We start from the raw sequence: 26,854 nt of genomic DNA on the forward strand, positions 1-26,854 counted from the left end.
TAATTGCTAAACAAATGACTATAACCTGGAGATGGATGCTCAAAAACTTATCAATGGGTTGGACTTCCCTTCCGCCAACTGCATTTTTAAAAACAAATCTATTAATCCACACCAGATACTAATTCTTAGTGGCCTTCCTCTAGTTAAACCCAATAAAGTAGTACTATTCTCCAAGGAGCCTCATTTCCCACCTGTATATGTAGGGATTCTCCTATGAGCAGGCTGGACCCATTGCTAGGCCGTGACACTGGTGGTTTCTAAGAACCTGGGTCACACGGCTATCTCAACAATGGGCCAAGAGAACACTGTACATGTGACCTATCAGGTGGACCACAAATGCCCAAGATGCAAGTTTGTCCTGCCTGAGCAGAGCAGAAGCTCTACAAAGCCTGGAGTTTCATTCTGAGAAGTGGCCTGGCTGGCTCTCCTGCCTGTGCTCATCCCACAGGTCCCAGCAGCGGTCAGAAATCACACAACCCCCATGAGACTGTGGAAATGGCAAGATGGCAGGGAATCCAGCACCACTGAGCAACTATTCTGTGCTGCTGGGAATGCTGAACCAGCCTGTCCCGTGACGCCAATCTCTTATTGTGCTTTATATTCCTAGTACCTGACCTACGGGTTGATACAGCAGGTATCCAATAAGCACTAAATTAACAAGCAGTTGTTAATTGCTAAGTCGTCATCTGATTTTTATCAAAAGAAAAAAAAACCGGTCAGGCTCACGCCTATAATCCCAGCACCTTGGGAGGCCAAGGTGGGCGGATCATGAGGTCAGGAGATCGAGACCATCCTGGCTAACACGGTGAAACCCTGTCTCTACTAAAAATACAAAAATTAGCTGGGTATGGTGGCATGCGCCTATAGTCCCAGCTACTCGGGAGACTGAGGCAGGAGAATCACTTGAACATGGGAGGCGGAGCTTGCAGTGAGCTGAGATTGCACCACTGCACTCCAGCCTGGGCAACACAGCAAGGCTCTGTCTAAAAAAAAATAAAAATAAAAATAAAGAAAAAAGAAAACCACTTCCACCTACAAGTACTGCTACCGCTTTGCCCATTTGAGGGCACCCAGCTTCATAACTAGAAAGAGAAGTTTACCAACCATAAAAGTATCCCGTCATATATTCCAAATTCAAATACACGATTTTACTTGTTTTTAGTCATTGTTCTTTGAGAAAATAACCAAGAAGGAACACACTTGCAAATGAACATGCTGGCTGAGTTTTACACATTTGCATAGTTCCGCAGATGTTAACAACTCTGCATGTATAGAAAACAACCATACATTCATCCACTGTTAGAAACCAAGTAGGTGGAGCCTTCTCTACACAGCTGCTAGATCTCATTTAGAAACAGAGTTAAAGCAGAGAATTCTTTTTTTTGAGACAGAGTCTCGCTCTGTTGCCCAGGCTGGAATGCAGTTGTGCAATCTCGGCTCACTGCAAGCTCTGCCTCCCGGGTTCACACCATTCTCCTGCCTCAGCCTCCTGAGTAGCTGGGACTACAGGCGCCCACCACCTTGCCTGGCTAATTTTTTGTATTTTTAGCAGAGATGGAGTTTCACCGAATTAGCCAGGATGATCTCGATCTCCTGACCTTGTGATCTGCCTGCCTCGGCCTCCCAAAGAGCTGGGATTACAGGCGTGAGCCACCGCGCCCGGCCAGAGAATTCTTATTGGGATGTTACGTCTCACTAACTTTATCTCAAAATTGGTTCTTTTATTCAAGATGTAGATTACTTTCAGGAGTTGTCAAAAACATCATTGAACTAGTTTCTTTTTCTGTAAGAAACAGCCAATCAAGTTGGCCAAAAAATGACCATAGGCTTTTGGAAAGTCTCATCTTGAGGCCAAATGGGTAGCTATTTGATTCAGTTACATGATCACACACTGCCAAAGAGTCAACATTAAAGTCCATTATATAATCCCTTTAAATGGCAATACTAGATTTAGACGCTTTACAGACTATGTTTTTTTCAATCTTCACAACAAACCCAGGGGAAATAACGTTTTCTTTTTGTAAATGAGGAAATGGAGGTTCTCAGAGCTGACATAGCCTGCTCAAGATTCTAACTAAAAAGTGGGAAAGCCAGAATTCAAATCCAAGTTTCACTATGTTACACTGCCTCAGATGATAAAGTGGTCATTACACTGCTCAGAAAGAAAAACGAGAATTTTTACAAGTTACTACAATAGAACTGTTTTATTAAACATATGACTGTATTTATTTTGTACAAAATGCAGTAACACTTCTTCTTTTCCTCTGCCCCTGGAGGCACTACCGCAGAACTTCATGTTCACAGAAACACACGTCATGGCAAGTGTGTCAAAAAGTCATGACAAGCAGGAAAGTGCAATTCTGAAAGTAATGCCACACAACCAAAGTGGGAAATGAAAACAGGCAGAGGCCAGCAGGTTTCTCGGCTAGGGCTCTGCCTATAACGCCCTGGTCCTGCTCATCTTTCAGCAGTAAACATTTTAAGAAGAGAAACTCCTGAGCACTATGTAAGTACTCTCCTGGTAGCATCCTTCCAATTCCATCTATCTTGATGTTGTAACAAGCTTATTTGTAACTTCCTCAAGAAATCCCACCCTGGATTGCATCCCTGTCAATTGCCCATCTCCCTCTGAGCTTCAAACAAAACAAAATAAAACAGAAGAGCAGTAAGTTTCAAAAGGAAGTCAGAGGAGACATTTGATAGATGAAACCTACTTCCTAGAAGCCCCCTGGCCAGACATATGCAGAGCTGGAGACAACAGATTGTGAAACTAGGTCCAGCTGTAAAATATCTCAGGTACCCAGTTAGATCCAGTTATTCTGCATCTGTGGATTTAAAATGGTCATCATCCACAGTAGAATAGATGTGCCCCTCATTGCTCAGAAAATCCACAGCTTGCCTAGAAAGAAAGAAGAAAAAAAAAAGGTCATTTTCAGGCCAATTCAGAAGGAAACTGCCTTTTGGATATGGCCAAATATGCAAACTTCGCTTATCTCCCAACTTTCTACCTTAGCTAAGAATTCACAAGTATTCTGCACATAGAAAGCTCTCACAGGGAGAAATGCCAGTAAAATAGCAAAACAGAGCTTATTCATGGAGACAATGGCTATTAGGGCTGTCTTGGATCCCTCTCCCAAATTGTGCAAAGGAAAGACAACAGGGCCTCACTTAAATACAGTCTAAGCAGGAAAACAAGGATCTAAAGCTGTAGTCACACTTGCACACAAAATCTCCTAGTAGAAACCACTGTCTTTAAAAGTCCCCCTTTTCCAGCCACACACTGAAACCCCGTTGGTCCCTCTCAGGGAAGTAAAGTTGTGGGAAGCAAAGGAAACACTCTGAAACCTTCAAACCCTTCAAGGTCCTCAGGGTTAGTGTCAGTAACGTATTTAATAGCCACAATCTACAGAGCACCTAAGTAACAGCAGTTCTCTACCTCATCAGCACGCAACTCTGAGATAGGAATTATTATCCTAATTTTACAGGACAGGAAATGGAATCAGCCCTGAGCATTTCTTATCTATCTAGGCCTGGCAGGTCAATTGATTTATAGTAACAAATAACTATCACAAGCACCATAAGTCAGTTTGTTTGATTGGTTTACTACACTGGAATCAGGAGGCTGCTTGTCTAAGATGGAATCAGGACAAGGGTGTTGGAAGGACTGATTGTTTAATAAGGTACAGATAGCCTAATACACTCATGTCCACAATGGGGACAGTAACAGCAACAGGACTGTACACCTGACGACCAGGAGCTAAGGACTTCCTTCCTCCAGTCTAAATCCCATAATGAAATCAGGTCAACTTTTTGCTCAGAATTATTATATATCCCTCACATATAGTGGTCCTTAGTGCTTGCTGAATGAGTGATGTGATGGGTAGCACCATTTTGGCCCATAGTCTTTTTCCTATTTTTCCATAGCTGAACGATTTCCATTCTGCCAACAGGGTTGCAGTTAAGTTTTTTTTGTGTGTGTGACAGTCTCACTCTGTCATCCAGGATGGAGTGCAGTGGCACAATGATGGCTCACTGCAGCCTTGACTTTCTGGGCTCAAGCGATCCTCCCACCTCAGCCTCCTGGGTAGCTGGGACTACAGACATGCGCCACTGTGCCCGGCTAATTTGTTTTTATTGTTTTTGTAGAGACAAGCGTTTCGCCACGTTGCCCAGGCTGGTCTTGAACTCCTGAGTTCAAGCAATCTGCCCACCTCAGCCTCCCAAAGTGCTAGGACTACAGGCATGAGCTAATGCCTGGCGAACTTTTACTTTTTTTTGAGATGGAATCTCGCTCTGTCACCCAGGCTGGAGTGCAGTGGTGTGATGGTGGCTCACTGCAACCTCCGCCTCCTGGATTCATGCGATTCTCTTGCCTTAGCCTCCGGAGTGGCCGGGATTACAGTTGCGTGCCACCATGCCCGGCTAATTTTTGTATTTTTAGTAGAAACGGGGTTTTCACCATGTTTGCCAGGCTGGTCTCGAACTCCTGACCTCAGGTGATCCACCTGCCTCGGCCTCCCAAAGTGCTGAGATTACAGGCGTGAGCCACCATGCCCGGCTGCCAAGTTTTACTTTTTAAACCCACTTCTCACTATCAGGAAACCCTTGTGAGGTGAAATAGGTACAATGCCAGAGCCTGAGCTCATGAAAATCAAATACTTACTTGATTGAGGATACAGACATGTGTTTCAGCTGGTTCTTGAGATCCTGAAAGTTCAACCCTTCAGGTCTTGGACAAGCCTTAATCAAATTCAACACCTGAAGATTCAAATCAGAAAGATTTTAGCAATTATTTTGGATCAGCCTCCCCTTTGCAAACCTGAGTCCCTTTATAGAAAAGAAATGAACCAGGTACTTAAACAGTCGTAGCTCATTAAGGAAGTAACAAAATTTAAGACTATCTGTGTTTTGTATTTCTGAAGCCACTCTGGTGGAGGTTACCTGGTTTTGGGCCACAGTGAGGCCATTTGCTGGCATGAAGCTATTCCCACCAAAGTTCCCTGCTTCACTCATTCCTGGATTGCTGATAGGTGCTCTCCCTGCTGAGGGCTGAATTAAGAAATAAGTTAGCAATATTAGAAAATCCATCAAGTTAAACAGTCTTTACTACTTAAAATAGCTCGTTAAGCAGCTTACAAAAAACAATTTATAAACAGTTTCCCAGTTTATAACACTGCTTACATTGGAGTGGACAGCTATTATCTAATGAGTATTTCACAGGAAGATAAAGTAACTCCCCGAAGCACATAAATATCAAAAAGAGAAAGATACTCTTGGCTCCTTTTGTTTGTGATGTCAGACGAACCAGAGAAGAGTAGCAGCAAGAAGAAAATTACCCAGAGTCTGCTATTTTGGTATCCATGGAGCCCAATCATTCAAGCATTCACTGAGTGTCAATAGGCATGAAGCACCACAGGCAGAGAAAAGGAGACACAGTCCCTATCGTCCTCTCTTTCTTTCTTTTTTTTTAACCACCAAATTCTTAAAATGCTCTGCAATCACTATTTTCATTTCCTTTCTCCCCAGTCACTCCTCAGCCCACCATATTTGGGTTGTCCCCCAGTACACCTCTGAAACTGTTTTCACCAAAGTCACCAAAGACTTTTCAACCAATTATCCAAAAGTCTCTTTCAGTCCTCCTAATACTTGACCTCTCGGAAGCAGACACTGCTGACCACACTCCTCTTGAAATGTATTCCTCCCTGGGCTTCTTGACACCACATTCTTCTGGTTCTCCATCTGCCTCTCAAACTGAACCTTCTCAGTATCCCTCATTAGCCTCTTCTATCTGTCTCCCAAAAAGCTGACAGTGTCCCCAGGATCTCATCCCAGACCGCCTCCTAGGCCACAAATCCTCATTGCCAGCCGGACTGCTAACCGGATGCCAACATGGTGAAACCCCGCCTGTATTAAAAATACAAAAATTAGCTGGGTATGGTGGTGCGTACCTGTAATCCCAGATACTGGCGAGGCTGAGGCAGGAGAATTGCTTGAACCCGAGAGGCGGAGGCTGCAGTGAGCCGAGATCACGCCATTGCACTCCAGCCTGAGTGACAGAGTGAGACACTGTCTCGAAAAAAAGGGCCAAGCGTGGTGGCTCATGCCTGTAATCCCAGCACTTTGAAAGGAGGCTGAGACGGGCAGATCACGAGGTCAGGAGATCGAGATCATCCTGGCTAACACGGTGAAACCCCTTCTCTACTAAAAATACAAAAAATTAGCCGGGTGTGGTGGCAGCCGGGTGTGGTGGTGGGCGCCTGTGGTCCCAGCTACTCGGGAGGCTGAGGCAGGAGAATGGCGTGAACCCGGGAGGCGGAGCTTGCAGTGAGCCGAGATCGCACCACTGCACTCCAGCCTGGGCGAAAGAGCGAGACTCTGTCTCAAAAAAAACAAAAACAAAAACAAAAAACCCAAATAAACAAAATTTTAAAAATTTGAGTAAAGGTAATCCTTACCATGGCCTCCAAAGCCCCATATAATCTGGGCCCTGCCTCCTTGCCTACAACCCTCTCCCTCTCCCCTGTCATTCACTTCACTCCAGACACTGGCCTTGCTGGTTTCAGAGATGTCATGCTTACTCCACACTCCTGGCTCTTGCACATCCTAGTCCCTCTGGTTTAGAATGTTCCTCATCTAAAATTGTACCATTCTTGTTCCCTCCATCAGCCTCTTCTCCTGTTTTATTTACTTCAGAGCACCTATATAACTACCTAAAATTATACATATATTTTTGTTTATTACTTGTTTCTCCCAAGAATGTAAGTATATAGTGTTCACTGCTATACTCGAATGCCGACTAGAATGATTGGGACTATCAAATCAAAGTAGGCGCAATAAATATTTTTCTTTTTCTTTATTTTTTTTTGAGACAAGGTTGCTCTGTTGCCCAGGCTGCAGTGAGTGGCACGATCACAGCTCAATGCAGCCTTGACCTCCTGGGCTTAAGTGATCTCCCAACCTCAGCCTTCCAAGTAGCCCATCTAATTCTTTAATTTTTTTTGTAGAGACAGGGTCTCCCTATGTTGCCCAGCGTGGTGTCTTGAACTGGGCTCAAGTGATGCCCCCACACCAGCCTCCCAAAGTGCTGAGATTTCAGGCCATGAACCACCACACCTTGCCCTGAGGGCTTTCTAATACTACAGTCAACTCTAGTTTTGCATGGTCCTAGATGGACTTGTCAAAGTGAATTCACACAATGGAAAATACTAGGGAGAAATTTCAATATGAACCAAGAAATATAATTTCAGGGAAAAAATAATAATACATAATTTTTCCTACTTAGCCAGTAAGTTGGAAGGAAGACAGCAAAATGCTGTCCTGAAGGGGACTACTCTCTGAGTATGCACTGACAATCCTGGAGCTAAGAGCTATATAAGAGCTAAGAGCCTATAATTACATGTCTACACCTGAGGGTTGTCACAGGCCTCAGCTGTCCAGGCCAGTGGAGTCAGAGGAACTCCTAATTCTGAGAGAAACATGAGTGTTTCATCTGGAATAAAATACAATGACAAAGCTAATGGAGAAAGTGTTCTGAGGACTTAGTGATGTCTTTCTCTGGCTCGGCCTTCAAAATATCAAGGAAATCAAAGCTGGAACACAAAAGTAGCCTGTGTTCTTCCAGGGAAGAGAAAAAGCTAGGAAAGCGAGACTACTCACCTGGCTGTTGGCTTTGCTTAGTACCATGTGTGCATTGATCACTTCCAGAATATGTGTGGTGAACTCATTCATATCCTCCAGGGGCATGATCTTAAAGGCTACCAGGCTCTTTTTGTTCTATTAAAATGAAGGAAAAAAATGTGAATAAAATATGAACATACATTAATTTCAGGTCAACACTGTGGCTCTTTCCTTGGTTATAATATTAATATTTCACCAATATGAGAAAAATGTTATATACTCTCAGAGGTATTCCAAATATGGTCAAACATGAGGAGAAAAAAAACTAAAACTAATAGCTAAGGGACATTAATAATTTTCCCAAGATTGCATAACCAAGCAAAATCTAGACTCCTGACTCCGAATCTAGTGTTCTCCTTTCTCCAACTAATGAACGCCACAGATAGCAATTGTAGAAGGAGATTCTGTTCTTTCTTTACCATTCTGTTAATTTCATGTTAAGGTTAAAAAAAAAAAAAAGAAAAGTTATTTCCTTTTGAAGAGAGTAAGAAATAACTTCCCATTAAACAGGGAGACTTAAGTATTTTAACTATCCAAAAGCCATGACATGAATCTAGAAACTGCTTCATGCAAAAACACTTTAACTGTTATTTTATTCTGACTTTACCTGAAAAGATCTCAGGTGGCCTGCCACTTTCACATATGTTTCTGGAGGAACCACAGTGTTTTCACTGCTGGTGTCCTAACATAAAATACAAACATGTCATTAAAGTTTTAGTGATGCTGGTAAAAGCCTCTTTAACGTTTCTATATTATGTATAGAAAGAGAAAGTTACGAAGTAGAAGAGTTAAAGGATCCTAAAATGGCATTAAGTAGTTTGCCCTGCCTTTTACAACTTATTTTGTAAAACCAGGAATTAGAATAAAAATATCTCTAAAGGTAATTATCAGTTCCAAAGTTCTGTAGCACATCATAAAAAAGCAAACAATTGTGACACTCTCGTTCAAGCTCTTAGGCACACAATTTTCTTTTTTCTTTTTTTGAGAGGGAGTCTCGCTCTGTCACCCAGGCTGGAGTGCAGTGGCACGATCTTGGCTCGCTGCAACCTCCGCCTCCCAAGGGAGGGTTTGAGTAATTCTCCTGCCTCAACTTCCCCAGTAGCTGGGATTACAGGCGCCCGCCACCACGCCCGGCAGGCACACAATTTTCTGGTGGATATACTTATTGGCAAAGCAATTCTACTTTTAGGAATTTAAGGAAGTAATTAAGAACATGCATTAAGATTTAGATTTATCATAGTATAGAATATTAAAAATTTTAAAACAACCTAAATATCCAACATAAAGTACACATTTCTATATAATAGGATACTCCACACTGTTGCAAATGATAACATAGAATTCTATTTACTGCCTGGAAAAACAAGTCATGATACATGGAAAAAAGCTGATTTCCCATTTGGGACAATACACACTAAACTGTTTATAATGGTTGACTAAGATAATTAAAAACGATTTTAATACTTATCAGTTTCCTAGAATATGCACACATTATTTATAAGAAAAATACATTAGCTGATTTTTTTTTTTTTTTTTGAGACGAAGTGTCTTGCTCTGTCACCCAGACTGGAGTGGAGCGGCATGATCTCGGCTCATTGCAACCTCTGCCTCACAAGTTTAAGTGATTCTCCTGCCTCAGCCTCCCAAATAGCTGGGACTATAGGCGCCTGCCACCACACCTGGTTAATTTTTTTGTATTTTTTTTGTATCTTTAGTAGAGACGGGGTTTCCCCATGTTGGCCAGGATGGTCTCGATCTCCTGACCTCATGATCCACCCGTCGCGGCCTCCCAAAGTGCTGGGATTACAGGCTTGAGCCATCGTGTCCGGCCCATTAGCTGATTTTTAAAGTTCTTTTCTGACTACATAAAATGTATTACTTTAAAAAAAATTGAAAATATATCGGGGTATATGGACTCACACCTGTTATCCTAGCACTTTAGGAGGACAAGGCAGGAGGATCCTTCGAGCTCAGGAGTTTGAAACCAGCCTGGGCAACATAGTGAGACCTCGTCTCTAAAAACAAACAAAAAACTAGAAAATATATGCTTAAAAATAAAAACTCTGGCCAGGTGCAGTGACTCATGCCTGTAATCCTAGCATTTTGGGAGGCCAAGGCGAGCAAGTCACTTGAGGTTAGGAGTTCGAGACCAGCCTGGCCAACGTGGTGAAACCCTGCCTCTGTTAATAATACAAAAAAAAGGGTGGGCACAGTGGCTCACGCCTGTAATCCCAGCTCTTTGGGAGGCTGAGGCGGGCGGATCACGAGGTCAGGAGTTCGAGACCAGCCTGGCTAACAGGGAAACCCTGTCTCTACTAAAAATGCAAAGATTAGCCAGGTGTGGTGGTGGGTGCCTGTAGTCCCAGCTACTCGGGAGGCTGAGGCAGGAGAATCACTTGAACCCAGGAGGCAGAGGTTGCAGTGAGAGACTGTGCCACTGCACTCCAGGCTGGGCAACAGAGCAGGACTCTATCTCAAAAAAAAAAAGAAAAAAAAAAAAAAAAAACCACACAAACAAAACAATTGTATTCCCATATACAACATTTTGAATCCACTTGAGAAAAGATCTCTACCTCAACTCCTTTTATCAAAATATATTCCATGTAGATCATAGGTTTAATTATAATAAAAGAAACCATAGAAATAATATGAACAATTTTTTTCTTTTTTTTTGAGACAGAGTCTCGCTCTGTCGCCCAGGCTGGAGTGCAGTGGTGGGATCTCAGCTCACTGCAAGCTCCGCCTTATGGGTTCACACCATTCTCCTGCCTCAGCCTCCCTAGTAGCTGGGACTACAGGCGCCCGCCACCACGCCCGGCTAATTTTTTGTATTTTTAGTAGAGACAAGGTTTCACCCTGTTAACCAGGATGGTCTCGATCTCCTGACCTCGTGATCCGCCCGCCTCGGCCTCCCAAAGTGCTGGGATTACAGGCGTGAGCCACGGTGCCCGGCTTTTGTATTTTTAATAGACAGGGTTTTGCCACATTGACCAGGCTAGTCTTGAACTCCTGACTTCAGGTGATCCACCCGCCTCCGCCTCCCAAAGTGTTGGGATTACAGGCGTCAGCCACCGAACCCAGCTGAGATTTATTTATTTGGTTTTTTGATAAGGTCTCGTTTTATCATCCAGGACGGATTACAATGGTGGGATCTCGGCTCACTGCAGCCTGTGCCTCCCGGGTTCAAGTGATTCTCCTGCCTCAGCCTCCTGAGTAGCTGGGATTACAGGCATGCACCACTGTGCCCGGCTAGTTTTTGCATTTTTAGTAGAGACGGGGTTTTACCTTATTGGCCAGGCTGGTGTCAAACTCCTGGCCTCAAGTGATCCACCTGCCTCAGTCTCCCAAAGTGCTGAGATTACACGCATGAGCCACCGCACCTGGCCAACAGCTCTTTTTTAATCTGAAGTATATATTGGGTGGCTGCTTAAGATTTTTTTTTTTTTTTTGAGATAAGGTCTCGCTCTGTCACCCAGGCTGGAGTGCAATGGCACAATCTGGGCTCACTGCTACCTCCACCTTCAGTGGGGCAAGTAACAGCAGATGTGGTGGAAATAGCAGGAGAACTGGAATTAGAAATGGAGCTTAAAGATATAACTGAATTGCTGTAACTTTATGGTAAAACTTGAGTGGATGAGGAGTTGCTTCCTTTTTTTTGAGACTGAGCCTCACTCTGTTACCCAGGCTGGAGGGCAGTGGCACAATTTTGGCTCACTGCAACCTCCATCTCTCAGGTTCAAGTGATTCTCCTGCCTCACCCTCCCGAGTAGCCAGGATTACAGGCATGTACCACCATGCCCAGCTAAATTTTTTATTTTTAGTAGAGACGAGGTTTCACCATGCTGGCCAGGGTGGTCTCAAACTCCTGACCTCAAATGATCTATCTGGCCGCCTGGGCCTCTCAAAGGAGTTGCTTCTCATGGATGAGCAAATAAACTGGTTTCTTGAGATGGAATCTCCTCCTAGTGAAGATGCTGTGAACATTGTTAAAACGACAATAAAGGATTTAGACTACTCCATAAGTTTAGTTGAGAAAGCAGTAGCAGGGTTTGAGATTGAATCCAATTTTGAAAGAAGTTATACTGTAAGTAAAATGCTATCAAACAGCATGATATAATATCGAGAAATTTTATGTGAAAAGGAGACTCAGTTACTCAGGCAAACTTTGTTGTCTTATTTCAAGAAATTGCCACAGCCAGCTCAACCTTCAGCCAACTACCACCCTCCTCAGTCAGCAGCCATCAACAGTGAGGCAAGAATGTCCACTAGCAAAAACATTATGAATTGCTGAGGGTTCGGATAACTGATTATTACAATTTGTTAGCCATAAAGTTTTTTTTTTTCTTCTTTTTTTGAGAGACAGTTTCGCTCCTGTTGCCCAGGCTGGAGTGCAATGGCGCGATCTCAGCTCACTGCAACCTCCACCTCCTGGGTTCAAGCGATTCTCCTGCCTCAGCCTCCCAAGTAGCTGGCATTACAGGTGCCCACAACCACACCTGGCTAATTTTTGTATTTTTAGTAGACAGGGCTTCACCACATTGGCCAGGCTGGTCTTGAACTCCTGACCTCAGGTGACCCTCCCGCCTCGGCCTCCCAAAGTGCTGGGATTATAGACGTGAGCCACCGCGCCCAGCCACCATAAAGTATTTTTTAACTAAAACAAACAAACAAAAAAAACAAACTTTGGGACTAGTAGAAGCTTCCGAAAGGTAAACTAGAAAAAACTGCACAATTTATTTTTCAAAATTATTTCTTTTTGAGATAGGGTCTTCCCATGCTGCCCAGGCTGGTCTTGAAATTCTGGCCTCAAGTGATCTTCCTGCCTAAGTCTCCTGAAGTGCTAAAGTTACAGGTGTGAGCCACTGTGCCTGGCCTCATTATAAGAGGTCACTATAATCATTTTCAAGTTCTTGCAAACAAAAACACTGTTAGGGGAAGGGGAATCAAAGAGAAAATTTACAAAAACCCCACAAATTGACATTAAACATAGTAAAAAAAAAAATACATATATATGGCTAAAACCAAAGAAATACACATAAAAAAATGACAAAATTTTCACTGAAAAGACTATTTTTTTCTGAGATGGAATATTGCTCTGATGCCCAGGCTAGAGGGCAGTGACGCAATCTTGACTCACTGCAACCTCCATCTCCCAGGCTCAAGCAATTCTCCTGCCTCAGCCTCCCGAATAGCTGGGACTACAGGCACGTGCTACCATGCCCTGCTAATTTTTTAATTTTTTTTATTATTTTTACGTATACTTTTTTTTTTTTTTGAGACAGTCTTGCTCTGTTGCCCAGGCTGGAGTGCACTGGTGTGAAGATCTCCGCTTACTGTAACCTCTGCCTCCTGGGTTCAAGCGAGTCTTGTGCCTCAGCCTCCCGAGTAGCTGGGACTACAGGCGTGCACCACCATGCCAGACTAATTTTTTTATTTTTAGTAGAGACTGGGTTATACCATGTTGGCCAGGCTGGTCTCAAACTCCTGACCTCAGGTGATCCACTCATCTTGGCCTCCCCAAAGTCCTGGGATTACAGGCATGAGCCACCGCACCTAGTCAAAAAGACTATTTTTTAAAACAACTATCACACTGGCAAAAATTTAAGACAAAAACCCATTGTTATAAAGGGTATGGAGGATAGGCACAGAGGCTCACACCTGTAATCCCAGCACTTTGGGAGGCTGAGGTGGGAGGATTGCTTAAACCCAGGAGTTTGAGACCAGCCTATTTCTTAAAAAAAAAAATGTTAAGGGTATGGAAACTAACTGGGCACTCTCATGCATGACTGAAGCGTAAACTGGTACCTTTAGAGAAGACAGTACAAAAATGCAAAAACTAAGATGTTAAAAAAATGTCAAATGTGTATTTCCCCCCAGAAAACCTACTTTTAGGAATACATCTTATGATTATTTTATTTTTTTGAGATGGAGTTTTGCTCTTGTTGCCCAGGCTGAATGCAATGGCACGATCTTGGCTCACTGCAGTCTCTGCCTCCCAGCTTCAACTGATTCTCCTGACTCAGCCTCCCGAGTAGCTGGTATTATAGGTGTGTGCCACCACGCCCAGCTAATTTTGTATTTTTAGTAGAGATGGGGTTTCACCATGTTGGCGGTGCCGGTCTTGAACTCCTGACATCAGGTGATCCACCTGCCTTGGCCTCCCAAAGTGCTGGAATTACAGGCGTGAGCCACGACGCCTGGCCTTACGATTATTTTATAATCATGAAGAAATGTATGCAAAGATACTCACTGGAGCATTGTATATAATAGCAAACGACTGAAAAGAAGTTAAATGTTGTTCCCTGACTGGGTCCACTGTTAAGTAAGGGATGATGTATTCTTATAATGGAATCGGTGGTCATTTAAAATGATAGATGTAAATCTTTACAGATAACATTAAAAAATCAGTTCTTGGCTGGGCCATGGTGGCTCAAGCCTGTAATCCCAGCACTTTGGGAGGCTGAGGCAGGATCACCTGAGGTCAAAAGTTCGAGACCAGCCTGGCCAACATGTTGAAACCCCGTCTCTACTAAAAATACAAAAATCAGTTGGGTGTGGTGGTGCACGCCTATAGTCCCAACTACTCGAGAGGCTGAGGCAGGAGAATCGCTTGAACCCGAGAAGCAGAGGTTGCAGCGAGCCAAGATTGCACCAATGCACTCCAGCCCGGATAACACGAGTGAAGCTCAGTCTCAAAAAAAAAAAAAAAAATCAGCTCCTCACCAGGCACGGTGGCATCAGCCTATAGTTCCAGCTACTTGGGAGGTTAAGGCCAAAGGATCACTTGAGCCCAGGTTTGAGGCCAGCCTAGGCAGCAAGCCAAGACCCTGTCTCTATTTAAAAAAAAAAAAAAAAAAAAAAAAGGCCAATGGCTCATGCCTATAATCCCAGCACTTTGGGAGGCCAAGGCAGGTGGATCACCTGAGGTTGGGAGTTCGAGACCACCCTGACCAATACAGAGAAACCCTGTCTCTAATAAAAATACAAAATTAACCAGGTGTGGTGGCACATGCCTGTAATCCCAGCTACTCTGGAGGCTGAGGCAGGAGAATTGCTTGAACCTGGGAGGCGGAGGTTGTGGTGAGCTGGAGATCGCGCCATTGCACTCCAGCCTGGGCAACAAGAGCACAGCTCCATCTCAAAAAAAAAAAAAAAAATCAGTTCCACAACATAATTTTGAGTGAAAAGAGCAAATTACTTAGCAGTTGCATAGCATATTATCCCTTCTACAGTAAAAGAGGTATGTGGACACCTGTATGTACATATATGCAGAGACAGATGTCTGAAAGGGTATTTTCCAAAATGTGTCGTAATAGTAGTTCTTTAAGAGACATGAGATGTCAGGTGATTTTTTAAATGGTTTATAAGCAAGCATAGTGCATTTTATATGAACAAGTAGTATTAGGTATCCATAGTATCTACCTCCCTGCTTGATGGCAGGGACTGTGTCTACCTCATTCTTTTTATACCTGGAACCAAGCACAGTCTAGTTCAGAATTGGTACTCCAACAATAACTGCTGAATGAATTATCCTTTATTTTTCTGAGAAGGAAAAAATTTAAAAATTACATAACTACCAAGTTATTTCTCTATAGATAACTTGTGGTTTTTGAAGGAGAACCGCATTTTTTTTTTTGAGTCAGTCTTGCTCTGTTGCCCAGAGCAACAGAGCAGTGCGCAATCTGCTGGAGTGCAGTGGCGCAATCTTGGCTCACTGCAACCTCTGTCTCCTAGGTTCAATCAATTTTTCTGTCTCAGCTTCTGGGTAGCTGGGATTACAGGCACCCAGCTCATTTTTGTATCATTAGTAGAGATGGAGTTTCATCACGTTGGCCAGGCTGGTTTCAAACTTCTGACTTCAGGTGACCCGCCAGCATTGGCCTCCCAAAGTGCTGGGATTACGGGCGTGAGTCACCATGCCCAGCCTAAAACAGTCTTTATTATCCAAATTTTCTGTAATGAATGTATTTCAAAAACAAAATACAAAACACCAAGAGGCCTTCTGCACAATTGAAAAATAAAAGGATAAAAAGTATATACTGTATTTCAGTCTATTTTATCCATGTTTATAAAGACACTTATATATATGCTGCTTTGTAAAAATTGGGTCAAATCCTGCATACCACATTGTAATATGCTTTTCTCAACAATTTATGGCAAACACTTCTTTGTGGCAATACACGCTTTTCTGTATCATTTGTAGTATGTTATAAATGTGTCATGGTTTACTTAATAATCCTTTATTGCTAGTATTTTGAGATTGCTTTATTTTTATTTATTCATTTTGAGACAGAGTCTTGCTCTGTCGCCCAGGCTGGAGTGCAGTGGCATGATCTCGGCTCACTGCAACCTCTGCCTCCCAGGTTCAAGCAATTCTCCTGCCTCAGCCTCCTGAGTAGCTGGGATTATAGGTGCGCAGAACCACGCCCGGCTAATTTTTGTATTTTTAGGAGACGGAGTTTCACCTGTTGGCCAGGCTGGATTCGAACTCCTGACCTCAGGTGATCTGCCTGCCTTGGCTTCCTAAAGTGTTGCGATTACAGGCGTGAGCCACTTCACTGGCCTAAATCTTTGTACCTGTCTTTAATTCTTTCCTTGATGTAAACTCCTAAGCTGTGGAGTTCTGCTAGGTCACCACTGTTTGTCTTTTTTTGTTTTGAGGCGCAATCTTGGCTCACTGCAAGCTCCGCCTCCCAGCTTCATGCCATTCTCCTGCCTCAGCCTCCCGAGGAGCTGGGACTACAGGCGCCTGCCACCACACCCGGCTAATGTTTTGTATTTTTAGTAGAGACAGGGTTTTACCGTGTTAGCCAGGATGGTCTTGATCTCCTGACCTCGTGATCCGCCCACCTCGGCCTCCCAAAGTGCTGGGATTACAGGCGTGAGCCACCATGCCAAGCCAAAAAGGAGCTTTATATTAATTAAAAATTTAAATGTTTGTAATATGTTGCAAATATTTTCCACATTCATTTAAACAATACTTATTCCAGGACCACTATGTGACTAGCACTGCTCTAGGTGCTAAGGCTACAGCGGTGACCAAGATAAAAATCTTTGTTCTAGGCCGGGCGTGAGGGCTCATGCCTGTAATCCAATCACTTTGAGAGGCTGAGGAGGGTGGATCACCTGAGGTCAGGAGTTTGAGACTAGCCTGGCCAACATGGCAAAACCCCATCTCTACTAAAAATACAAAAAATTAGGTGTGGTGGCGGGTGCCTGTAATCCCAGCTACTTGGGAGGCTGAGGCAGGAGAACTGCTTGAACCTGGGGCCCAGAGGCTGCAATGAGCTGAGATTGCGCCATTGCACTCCAGCCTGGGTGACAGCACAAGATTCTGTCTCAAAAAAAAAAACCAAACAAACAAACAAACAAAAAAGCAGGGGCTGGGTGTGGTGGCTCAAGCCTGTAATAATCCCAGCACTTTGGGAGGCCAAGGTAGGTGGATCACAAGGTCAGGAGTTCAAGACCAGCCTGACCAAGATGGTGAAACCCCATCTCTAGTAAAAATACAAAAATTAGCCGGGCGTGGTGGCAGGTGCCTGTAATCCCAGCTACTTGGGAGGCTGAGGCACAGGATCGCTTGAGCCCGGGATGCGGACGTTGTAGTGAGCCGAGATTCCACCACTGCACTGCCTGGGCGACAGAGTGAGACTCTGTCTCAAAAAAAACTTTGTTCTAATGGAACTTAACATTCTACTGTCTCCTGTCATTTGACTTTTAATTCTGTTTTTGGTATATTGGGAAGGTATATAGTCAAATCTACTAACCTTTTACTTTAGAGTATCTGTCTTTGATGTCTTTTTGTATTATTTTTATAAGAAAAAACTTTAAAAAGACTAAAAAAGTTCAACATCTCCACAGTTCCAAAGTAACCCCATCATGATTCAAAAACAGCCACTTACATCTGTGTCAACCCACTGGCGAACGTCCATGGGTGCAGCTGTCATGTCATCTATTTTGTAAACAATGTTGGTTGGAGCCTTCTCTGCATGTCTGATGATCCCCACAATAGTGACCTAGGTTAGAAGAAACAAAGAAAAAAAAAAAAGGTCTGGTTCCCCCTGAAACCAAGGCTACATTTTTGTATTTTTTAATGAAGTCTTATTTCATTCTTTATTATGAGTAAGTGATTCTTTCACAAATTATTTGACATACCTGTGAAATCTCAACATTCCCAATTCTGAACACTTCATCAACCAAAGTGGCAGAAAGCAGCTGAGATATAGTACAGGGCACAATGTGCTGGGCTCGGGCTCTCTGAAAAGAAAAAACATGCAAAATTCAATTAAGAAAGTAATAACTACCACTCATTCAACACCTGCCATGTGCCAAGTACTTTAAATATATTAGAACATTGAATTTCAAAACAAATCTCATTATCCTTGCTTCAGAGAGATGGAAACCAAGGTCATATAGCAAACCAATACCACACTTTTAGAATCCAAACCCAGGTTTGTCTAACTCCAGAGCTCCTGCTGAATAGATACACATGTTGCTCTGAGAATTCACCAAAATGAATAGGTCAGAGTGGGGGACAGGATAAGGAAGAATGACCTGCTGCTGCCAGAACAGACCTTCAAGAGGAAACCCCAGCTTTAGGGTGTAGACAGGCTGGTGCTGCTGTTCAGGTCACTGACAAAATGAGATGGTATTGGGAAAAGGTTTGAGAAATGACTAATGGAGACAGGACTTTGGAATTGCTTGTAGGTCTTGTGATGAACTGTAAAAGGTAGAAGAATAGCTTCTTGTAGGACAGATTTTTTGACTATCAAATGGAGCTCCTGGGGAAATGGAGTAAGAGCTTGGCCATGTTGGACATCTTTTTAAATTTTTTTTCTTTGAGACAGAGTTTCGCTCCTGTTGTCCAGGCTGGCATGCAATGGCGTGATCTCAGCTCACTGCAACCTCCGTCTCCCGGGCTCAAGCGATTCTCCTGGCTCAGCCTCCTGAGTAGCTGGGACTATATGTGCCAGCATTTTGCATTTTTAGTAGAGATGGGGTTTCACCATGTTGGCCAGGCTGGTCTGGAACTCTTGACCTCAGGTGATCTGCCCACCTCAGCCTCCCAAAGTGCTGGGATTACAGGTGTGAACCACTGCCCTCGGCCAAATTTTGTTTTGAGATGGGGTCTTGTTCTGTCACTCAGGCTGGAGTGCAGTGGCATTACAGCTCACTGCAGCCTCAAACTCATGGGCTCAAGCAATCTTCCTGCTATAGTCTCCTGAGTAGCTGGGACTACAGGCACACCACCACATCCAGTCAATTAAAAAAACATTTTTTTTTTTGTAGAGATGGGGTTTTGCTATGTTGCCCAGGCTGGTCTTAAACTCTTGGTCTCAAGTGATCCTCCGACCTTAGCCTCCCAGTGTTAGGATGACACACATAAACCACTGTGCTGGACTCATGTTGGACGTCTTAGGGGGAAGAGGCAGGATAGGGTAGGCAGAACAGTATCTAGTGAGCACACTCAAATTATATCTTTTTTTTTGAGATGGAGTCTCACTCTGTTGCCTAGGCTGGAGTGTGGTGGCGCGATCTCAGCTCACTACAACCTCAATCTCCTGGGTTCAAGCAATTCTCCTGTCTCAGCCCCCCCGAGTAGCTGGGATTATAGGTGCACGCCACCATGCCCAGCTAATTTTTCTATTTTTTTCTAGAGATGGGGTTTTGCCATGTTAGCCAGGCTGGTCTCGAACACCTGACCTCAGGCAATCTGCCCACCTCGGCCTCTCAAAGTGTTGGGATTATAGGCGTGAGCCACCGCGCCAGGCCCAAATCATATCTTAAAGCAGCCAGACAACAGTGTAAACTTATTTTTGCCTACCAGTGGCAAGAGGTAGTCTGGGTAACATGAAGATGAATATGATGGGACAGGATTTACCCTCAACATATTCCTAATCTAGGGGAGGTACAAAGGTAAACAATAAACCTGATCTTGATACACTGTAAAATGAAACATGCCATGTGGGACCTCAGAAAAGCTTACTGGCAAAAGAGGGAGGCTTTAGGCTGAACTCTGAAGCACGAGAATTTCAACAGCGAAAAAGTAGCAGGTAACAGGCTGAGGGCAAGTATGTACTCCCAGTCTCCTAGAGGGAATATGTACAAGGCACAAAAACGATGAGAGCTCTTCCTGTCAGAAGCCAAGAGGAAGTGGACCAATACCTGTACTACATGGAAGACTTAGAACACAGTAGACTCTTGGCCTTCATGGATTTAGCAGTCGCAACTCTGACCTGAACATCCACGACACTGCCAATATTTCATTTTGCTGAAGCATGATTGTGAATGGTGAGTATTGCCACAACAGGATAAAGCAAGCTCAGTCAACCGCTGGCACATATGCCACAAAAGGCAGCAGCCAAGCTTGAGGGTTAAGATTGTGGCTCTATTCTCAAGAGCAGCTGCTTGGCCAGGCGTGGTGGGTAACGCCTGTAATCCCAAGGCCGAGGCGGGCAGATCATTTGAGGTCAGGAGTTTGAGATCAAGCCTGGCCAACATGGCGAAACCCCATTTCTACTAAAAATTTAAAAAAAAAATTAGCCAGGTGTGGTGGCGCATGCCTGTAATCCCAGCTACTGGGGAGGCTGAGGCAGGAGAATCACTTGAACTCGGGAGGCGGAGGTTGCAGTGAGCCGAGATCATACCATTGCACTCCAGCCTGGGCAACAGAGACTCTCCTCAAAAAGAGAAAAAAAAAAAAGAGCGGTCGCTCTTGGTCACATGTATTAACTCATTTGTACCTCGGTTTCCTCATCTGCAAAACTAGGAATGATATTATAAAAATTACATGGTAAAGGACTCAGAATACTACCCAGCACAAAGCACTCAATAACAAATTTTAGCTATTATTATATTAGCTATTGTTCCTCATTCTTTACATTTGCAATAGCTTTTAATAACAACGTTGACAGGATCAACTTTTTCAATTTTACTTTATGGTATTTTATAGGTAAAGTTACATGCTATGTTAATATTTATAGTCTTAAAATTTGCAGGGGTCCCAGGATTTACCTCTCACAAACTACTATATTTCTGTTTTTACCTATCACAGCTGAGATTTTCATTGTATCTTCAGCATAAGAAAACTTAAGAACCAGTAAGGTAAAGTGGCAAGAACATGAGGTTTGGAGCCAGAGAGTCCTGTAGACCCATGCTCAAATCCCAGCTCCAAAGTCCTGGACACATGACCACCTTTTCTGAAAACTGGGGATATACACCTCTTAAGTTGTAAATGAGACACATAACATATATGAAGTGCTAATACCAATCTCTACATGTAGTAGATGTTTGACAAATATTATTACCTCTCAGGTAAAAATGTTACATATAGGTAACAGTTGAGATGTTAACAATGCCTTCAAATTCATCTCAAATCAAGTATTTATTTTTTATTGAGCATATATTTTATGTAGGAATTGATCACAAGGAATTCCTAGTCTGCTCCAAAGAGGTTCACAAAGTGTCAATAAAAATATGCTTAATTTTGGAAAAACAAAAACAAAAACACTTTCAAACTAAAAAAATTTTCATAGCTGACTATGAACCACAGACTACTCTGACAGTACTTCAGGAAAGTACCATTATTACAGATTAAAATTGGGTCGCTATTTGAAACTTCACATGGTTCAATCATATTGAACAAATACATAATCAACAGGAAACATTTTGGATAGAGTTCTTTATCACCCAGGGATGGTGCTGCACACCTGTAATCCTAGCTACTTGGGAGGCTGAGATGGGAGGATCCCTTGACCCCTGGAGTTAAGAGTCTGTGGTAAGCTATGACTGCACCACTGCACTCCAGCGGGGGTGAAAGTGAGACGGTCTCAATTTTAAAAGAAAAAAAGAATAGGGCGTTTACCTAACTTTTAACTGTGGAAAATACTAGATTTAAAAACAAAACAAGGCCAGGCGCAGTGGCTCATACCTGTAATCCCAACACTTTGGGAGGCCAAGAAGAGCAGATCGCCTGACGTCAGGAGTTTGAGACCAGCCTGACCAACGTGGCAAAACCCCGTCTCCACTGAAAATACAAAAATTGGCCAGGAATGGTGGCATGCGCCTGTAGTCACAGCTACTCGGGAGGCTGAGGCAGGAGAATCGCTTGAACCCAGGAGGTGGAGGTTGCAGTGAGCTGAGATTGTTCCACTGCACTCTGGCCTGGGCAACAGAGAGACTGTCTCAAAAAAAAAATAAAAATAAAAACAAAAAGACTGTCCGGGTGTGGTGGCTCATGCCTGTAATACCAGCACCACGGGAGGCAAGGGTGGGAGGACTGCTTTAGCCCAAGAGTTTGAGACCAGCCTGGGCAACATAGTGACACCCTGTCTCCACAAAAAGAAAAAAAAATTCAGAGACTGGGATTGAGTCTCCAACTTACAAGCATTATTCTCTGAAAAGCTATCTTAATACCCAGCTTTTAGGAATTCTGAGATAAAAATTATAATAACCAGAATGGAGAAAAATAGTTAAGCTTGGGAAGAAAAGATGAGAACCAATCATCTACCTTGTTTTCTCCTTCACAACCTCAAGAAAATCAGAATAGAGAATTAAAGTCCCTTGAGATCTTCTAGGAAAGAGAAAACTACAACAGGGAGAAGTTGCTGCTCATCAGATGTTGGATTTGTTCAGCATCATGTGCGTACTGTCTGATTCTAGTTCCTTACTAGCTATGTAAGCTTAGGCAGTCCCTTAATATACCTGAGTCTCTGTTAGTATGCTGGAATAAACAATAAATTCCTTACAGAATTACATAAAATAATTTATATGAAAGTTATAAAGCGGCCGGGCACGGTGGCTCACACCTGTAATCCCAGCACTTTGGGAGGCCGAGGCGGGCAGATCACGAGGTCAGGAGATCAAGACCATCTTGGCCAACATGGTACAACCCTGTCTCTACTAAAAAAATACAAAAAACTAGCCGGGTGTGGTGGCGGGCGCCTGTAGTCCCAGTTACTCGGGAGGCTGAGGCAGGAGAATGGCGTGAAGCCGGGAGGCAGAGGTTGCAGTGAGCCCAGATTGTGTCACTACACTCCAGCCTGGGCGACAGAGTGAGACTCTGTCTCAAAAAAAAAAAGAAAGAAAGTTATAAAGCAATGTCCAAATATACCAGAATATCATTGAGTTTTTTAACTTGCTTACACTGAATCTTAACATATCTGAGTGATTCCTAAAGAGAAGTCAAATTAACCTCACATTTATAAAATGAAATTGCAGTTGTTAAATGCAAACTCAGCTGGGAATGGTGGCTCACACCTGTAATCTCAGCACTTTGGGAGGCTGAGGTGGGTGGATTGCTTGAGGCTAGGAGCCTGAGACCAGCCTAGCCAACATGGCCAAATGCCACCTCTAAAAAAAAAAAAAAACACAAAAATTAGCCTGACACCGCAGTGAACATAGGTAGTACCAGCTGCTAGAGAGGCTGAGGTGGGAATGATCACTTGAGGCATGGAGGTCCAAGCTGCAGTGAGCTGTGATCACACACCACTGCTCTCCAGCCTGGCAGAGACCCTGTCTCAAAAAAAAAGGCAAACTCATTTCAGAGTGACTAAACATTTAGACAGCTTTCTATAGATTGTTTTCCTACACATTGCCTTACTCATCAATTCTCAGAACCACCCCGTGACATGAGTACTACCAGTATCATCAGATGAGAAAAACCAAGGGCCACAGCCTTCAAGATGCTTTCCTGAAGTCACAATGCCAGTTAAAAGGCAAGATGGATTCTGGAGCCCCCATGTTCTGGCTCCATAGCCTGTATTCTTTGTATATAATATTAAGTCTCACAATGACATTTTAAGGTATGTTAGCCCCTCTTCACAGGGGCAAAACTGACTCCCAAGCCAGTTAAGAAATGTGTCCAGTGACACCCTATAAGTAAAGCAGCACGGCAACGGCAGAACACACGTCTATGACTTCAAAGACCACATTTCTTTTTTTGAGACAGTCTGCTCTTGCTCTATCACCCAGGCTGGAGTGCAGTGGCATCATCTTGGCTCACTGCAATCTCTGTCTCCAGAGTTCAAGCGATTCCCCTGCTTCAGCCTCCCTAGTAGCTGGGATTACAGGTGCCTGCCACCACGCCTGGCTAATTTTTGTATTTTTAGTAGAGACGAGGTTTCACCATGTTGGCCAGGCTGGTCAGGAACTCCTGATCTCAGGTGATCCACCCGCCTCAGCCTCCCAAAGTGCTGGGATTACGGGCGTGAGCCACCGCGGCTGGCCCAAAAACCACACTCCTGATGTCGCCTCATCCCATTTAATTTAAAAGCGACTTTGGGCCGGGCTCCGTGGCTCACGCCTGTAATCCCAACACTTTGGGAGGCTGAGGCGGGTGGATTACCTGAGTTCGGGAGTTGGAGACCAGCCTGACCAACATGGAGAAACCCTGTCTCTACTAAAAACACAAAATTAGCCGGGCGTGGTGGCACATGCCTGTAATCCCAGCTACTCGGGACGCTGAAGCAGGAGAATCGCTTGAACCTGGGAGGCGGAGGTTGCGGGGAGCCGAGATCGCGCCATTGCACTCCAGCCTGGGCAACAGAGTGAGGTTCCATCTCAAAAAAAAAAAAAAAAGAATGTAAAAGAGACTATTAATATAAGTTCAGGCCAGGAGCAGTGGCTCACACCTGTTACCCCAGCACTTTGAGAGGCCGAGGTGGGAGGATCGCTTGAGCTCAGGAGTCGGAGACCAGCCTGGGCAACATAGTGAGACCCCATCTCTATTTTAAAAAATAAAAATAAATTTAAAAACCAAGTTGAGGGCGTTCACACAAGACTGATTCATTAGCTACACTGATCAATTTCAAAATAAGGCCAACGACGGGAAAAGCCAGGGAAACAGGAGGTGGAAAATTTGGCAAGATTTCATTTCTGAAACTTACAGCACTTAATTATAAGAGATGCAGATAATAATAGATCATTATCGCATCAGTTCACGTTGAAATCTTCCTTCAAAGCATAAAGTTTCTGTCATAGATGACTCAGGGACTTCAGGACAGGATAAAACAAAACTAAATACTCCTTTCAACCTACTGATTTCTTTTCGGCTTGAGAAGGTGCGGGCGATCCAAAGCCCCCCGGGGACTGCGTGTAGCCGCCGGCTCCCCCGTATGAGGAGCTGCCATAGCTTTCGAATCCACCTGTTTTGAACAACAGGATTAGTGCCTGTGCCACGTCCCACGCCTCCGAGAAACCCGCAGGCTCCCGGAGGCTTCGCCCCTTCAAACACTGCCCGAGTCTCCCTAACCTTCCTCGCCGCCTTCCTGCGGGTGACCCCCAAACGCCCCAGCTCCGCTCCCGCCCTTCCTCTCCCGCTACCACACGCCTCTCGGACCCTAGGCTCGCCCTCTTGCTAAAACCTCCTGCGATTCTCTTCCTCCTCCACCCCGCACCCCCATCATTACTGTTCCACATCTTGGTCACGATTCTCCGCAAAGAGGCCGAGAAGGTGCGGGTCTGGGGGAATAGCGGAAAACCACAGAACGCGGCCGCCACTGCGCCGCTCTGGCTACTTTTCTCTGGCACCACAAACGCCTTCCCGCGAATGGCGGAGCCAGTCAGCTCCCGGGGTGCTCGCTTCAGCCAATCGGTGCTCACGGATGCTACGCTTGTTCCTGTCTCCTCTGCCCATGCTCCAGAAAACGCGTACTGCGCTCCCAGTTGGCTCCAAAAGCCTCCGCGGCCATCTTTACGAAGGGCAAAACCCTCCGCACTAGCGGAAGCAAGGGGCTGGCAGAGCGGTATCGCAAGAAATCAACCAATCAGAACAATACTACCGCGACGCAGCGCCGTGTGATCCCACCCTCGTCAAGTGCGCGACTTCTGCCGTCACTTCCTTTGTTCGGCGTGCTCAGGTTCGCGCCAAACTATCACCAATCAGACGACGCCTTCATCTAAAGGGCTGTAGCGGAGTTTTGGCTTCGGTGTTTCCCACCCACGGTCGTGCGGGAATTGCGCACCTCAGGGACTCGCAGCACTAGCCTCACAGCACCGCGTGGAGTTGCTTGTTCTTTTACATAGGAGGTCACATTCTCTTCGTGTAATGCCACCAATGGTGCCGATTCTCCCCAGTGGGGCTGTGAGAAACCTACGCCCTCTTGCCTATGACAGACTTGTGAAAGATGTGAGGGTGGTGCCCCTCGTCCCGCACCTGTCCCCATCCCAGTCTCATCCAGGCTTGGCCTCTCCAGTCATTTCGACCATTTTTCATAATTCTTCATATAACGTGCCTCCCATAGGGAGTGGAACATTTTGTCAGTTCCTTCCTCAAAATACTCATGCATTGTTAGAATTTTATGTTCATTTATGTATTTAAGAAAAATTAGCAGGTGCTGTGGCTCATGCCTGTAAACCCAGCAAATGGGGTCTGAGGCAGGAGGACCGCTTGAGGCTGGAAGTTTGAGACCAGCCTGGACAACATAGTGAGACCCTCTCTCAAAAAATATTTTTAAAAATTAGTCTGGTGTGGTGGCAAGTGCCTGGGGTCCCAGCTACTGGGGTGGCTAAGGTGGGAGGATCACCTGGCCCTGGGGTGTCCAGGCTGCAGTGAGCTGTGATGCTGCCACTGCACTCCAGCCTAGGTGGCAGAGAGAGACTGCGACTCAAAAAAAAAAAAAAAAAAATAGAATTGTTTATGCCTTCTTTGTTCCTGGCCCTGTGCTGGCCACTGGGATTCAATGGTTAAGTAAGATAGACATGGCCTTTGGGCTCCAGGACTGTGTGTTTTTTTCTTCTCTTCTTTTTCCTTTTTTTTTTTTTTTCGGAAACTGAGTTTTGCTCTTGTTGCCCAGGCTGGAGTGCAATGGTGCGATCTCACCTCACTGCAACCTCCGCCTCCCGGGTTCAAGCGATTTTCCTGCCTCAGCCTCCGGAGTAGCTGGGATTACAGGTACGTGCAACCACGCCCGGCTAATTTTTGTATTTTTAGTAGAGACGGGGGTTTCGCCATGCTGGTCAGGCTGGTCTCGAACTCCTGACCTCAAGTGATCCACCCACCTTGGCCTCCCAAAGTGTTGGGATTACAGGCGTCAGCCACTGCACCCTGCTTTCTTCTTTCTTCTTCCTCCTACTCTTCACTTTGACATTCAGAGCACTGGGCAGAAATCGCATCGCGTGTTTTAATTAAACAGATTTCCCTGGTTGCCTCCTCTCCACCTCCCTCCTGCCCCCTCCC

At 44.5% G+C, this 26,854-nt stretch overlaps 1 protein-coding gene across 7 annotated transcripts, besides 3 other annotated features; it reads right to left on the reverse strand.

The window, feature by feature from the left end:
• Positions 1,417-1,486: a silencer, noted in NCBI's record as "silent region_532". NCBI's record gives its function as "represses an Ori minimal core promoter by ATAC-STARR-seq in GM12878 lymphoblastoid cells {active_cell/tissue: GM12878}" and the evidence as "EXISTENCE:reporter gene assay evidence [ECO:0000049][PMID:35858748]".
• On the reverse strand, positions 2,176-25,449 carry RPA2 (replication protein A2). Of its 7 annotated transcripts, none has more exons than NM_001297558.1 (9): positions 25,279-25,449; positions 24,715-24,821; positions 17,833-17,934; positions 17,580-17,693; positions 8,285-8,359; positions 7,657-7,773; positions 4,942-5,049; positions 4,664-4,758; positions 2,176-2,899 (listed from the first exon to the last, which is right to left on the reverse strand). In NM_001297558.1, the coding sequence occupies exons 1-9, from the start codon at positions 25,310-25,312 to the stop codon at positions 2,815-2,817; spliced, it is 837 nt and encodes a 278-aa protein (NP_001284487.1). In that variant the 5' UTR covers positions 25,313-25,449; the 3' UTR covers positions 2,176-2,814. The 7 variants fall into 7 exon arrangements, with proteins under 7 accessions (NP_001284487.1, NP_002937.1, NP_001273005.1 ...); NM_002946.5 differs by lacking the exon at positions 25,279-25,449 and adding an exon at positions 25,086-25,227; NM_001286076.2 differs by lacking the exon at positions 25,279-25,449 and adding an exon at positions 25,086-25,227 and having other exon boundaries at positions 24,564-24,821.
• Positions 24,980-25,484: an enhancer, noted in NCBI's record as "NANOG-H3K27ac-H3K4me1 hESC enhancer chr1:28240839-28241343 (GRCh37/hg19 assembly coordinates)". NCBI's record gives its function as "activates a minimal SCP1, AML or CMV promoter by ChIP-STARR-seq in naive H9 embryonic stem cells {active_cell/tissue: H9 hESC(naive)}" and the evidence as "EXISTENCE:reporter gene assay evidence [ECO:0000049][PMID:30033119]".
• Positions 25,344-25,403: an enhancer, noted in NCBI's record as "active region_579". NCBI's record gives its function as "activates an Ori minimal core promoter by ATAC-STARR-seq in GM12878 lymphoblastoid cells {active_cell/tissue: GM12878}" and the evidence as "EXISTENCE:reporter gene assay evidence [ECO:0000049][PMID:35858748]".

The sequence above is a fragment of the Homo sapiens genome, chromosome 1, assembly GCF_000001405.40.
Source record: "Homo sapiens chromosome 1, GRCh38.p14 Primary Assembly".
NCBI classification, from domain to species: domain Eukaryota; kingdom Metazoa; phylum Chordata; class Mammalia; order Primates; family Hominidae; genus Homo; species Homo sapiens.

Excerpts from the sequence above, each read along its gene's own strand:
- RPA2 (NM_001297558.1), bottom strand. The coding sequence starts at position 25,312 with ATGGGCAGAGGAGACAGGAACAAGCGTAGCATCC. Across the intron at positions 8,360-17,579 it reads GCCAGTGGGTTGACACAGAT|GACACCAGCAGTGAAAACAC; the intron begins GTAAGTGGCTGT and ends ATTTTATGTTAG. Across the intron at positions 2,900-4,663 it reads ATGTCTGTATCCTCAATCAA|GCAAGCTGTGGATTTTCTGA; the intron begins GTAAGTATTTGA and ends CTTTCTTTCTAG.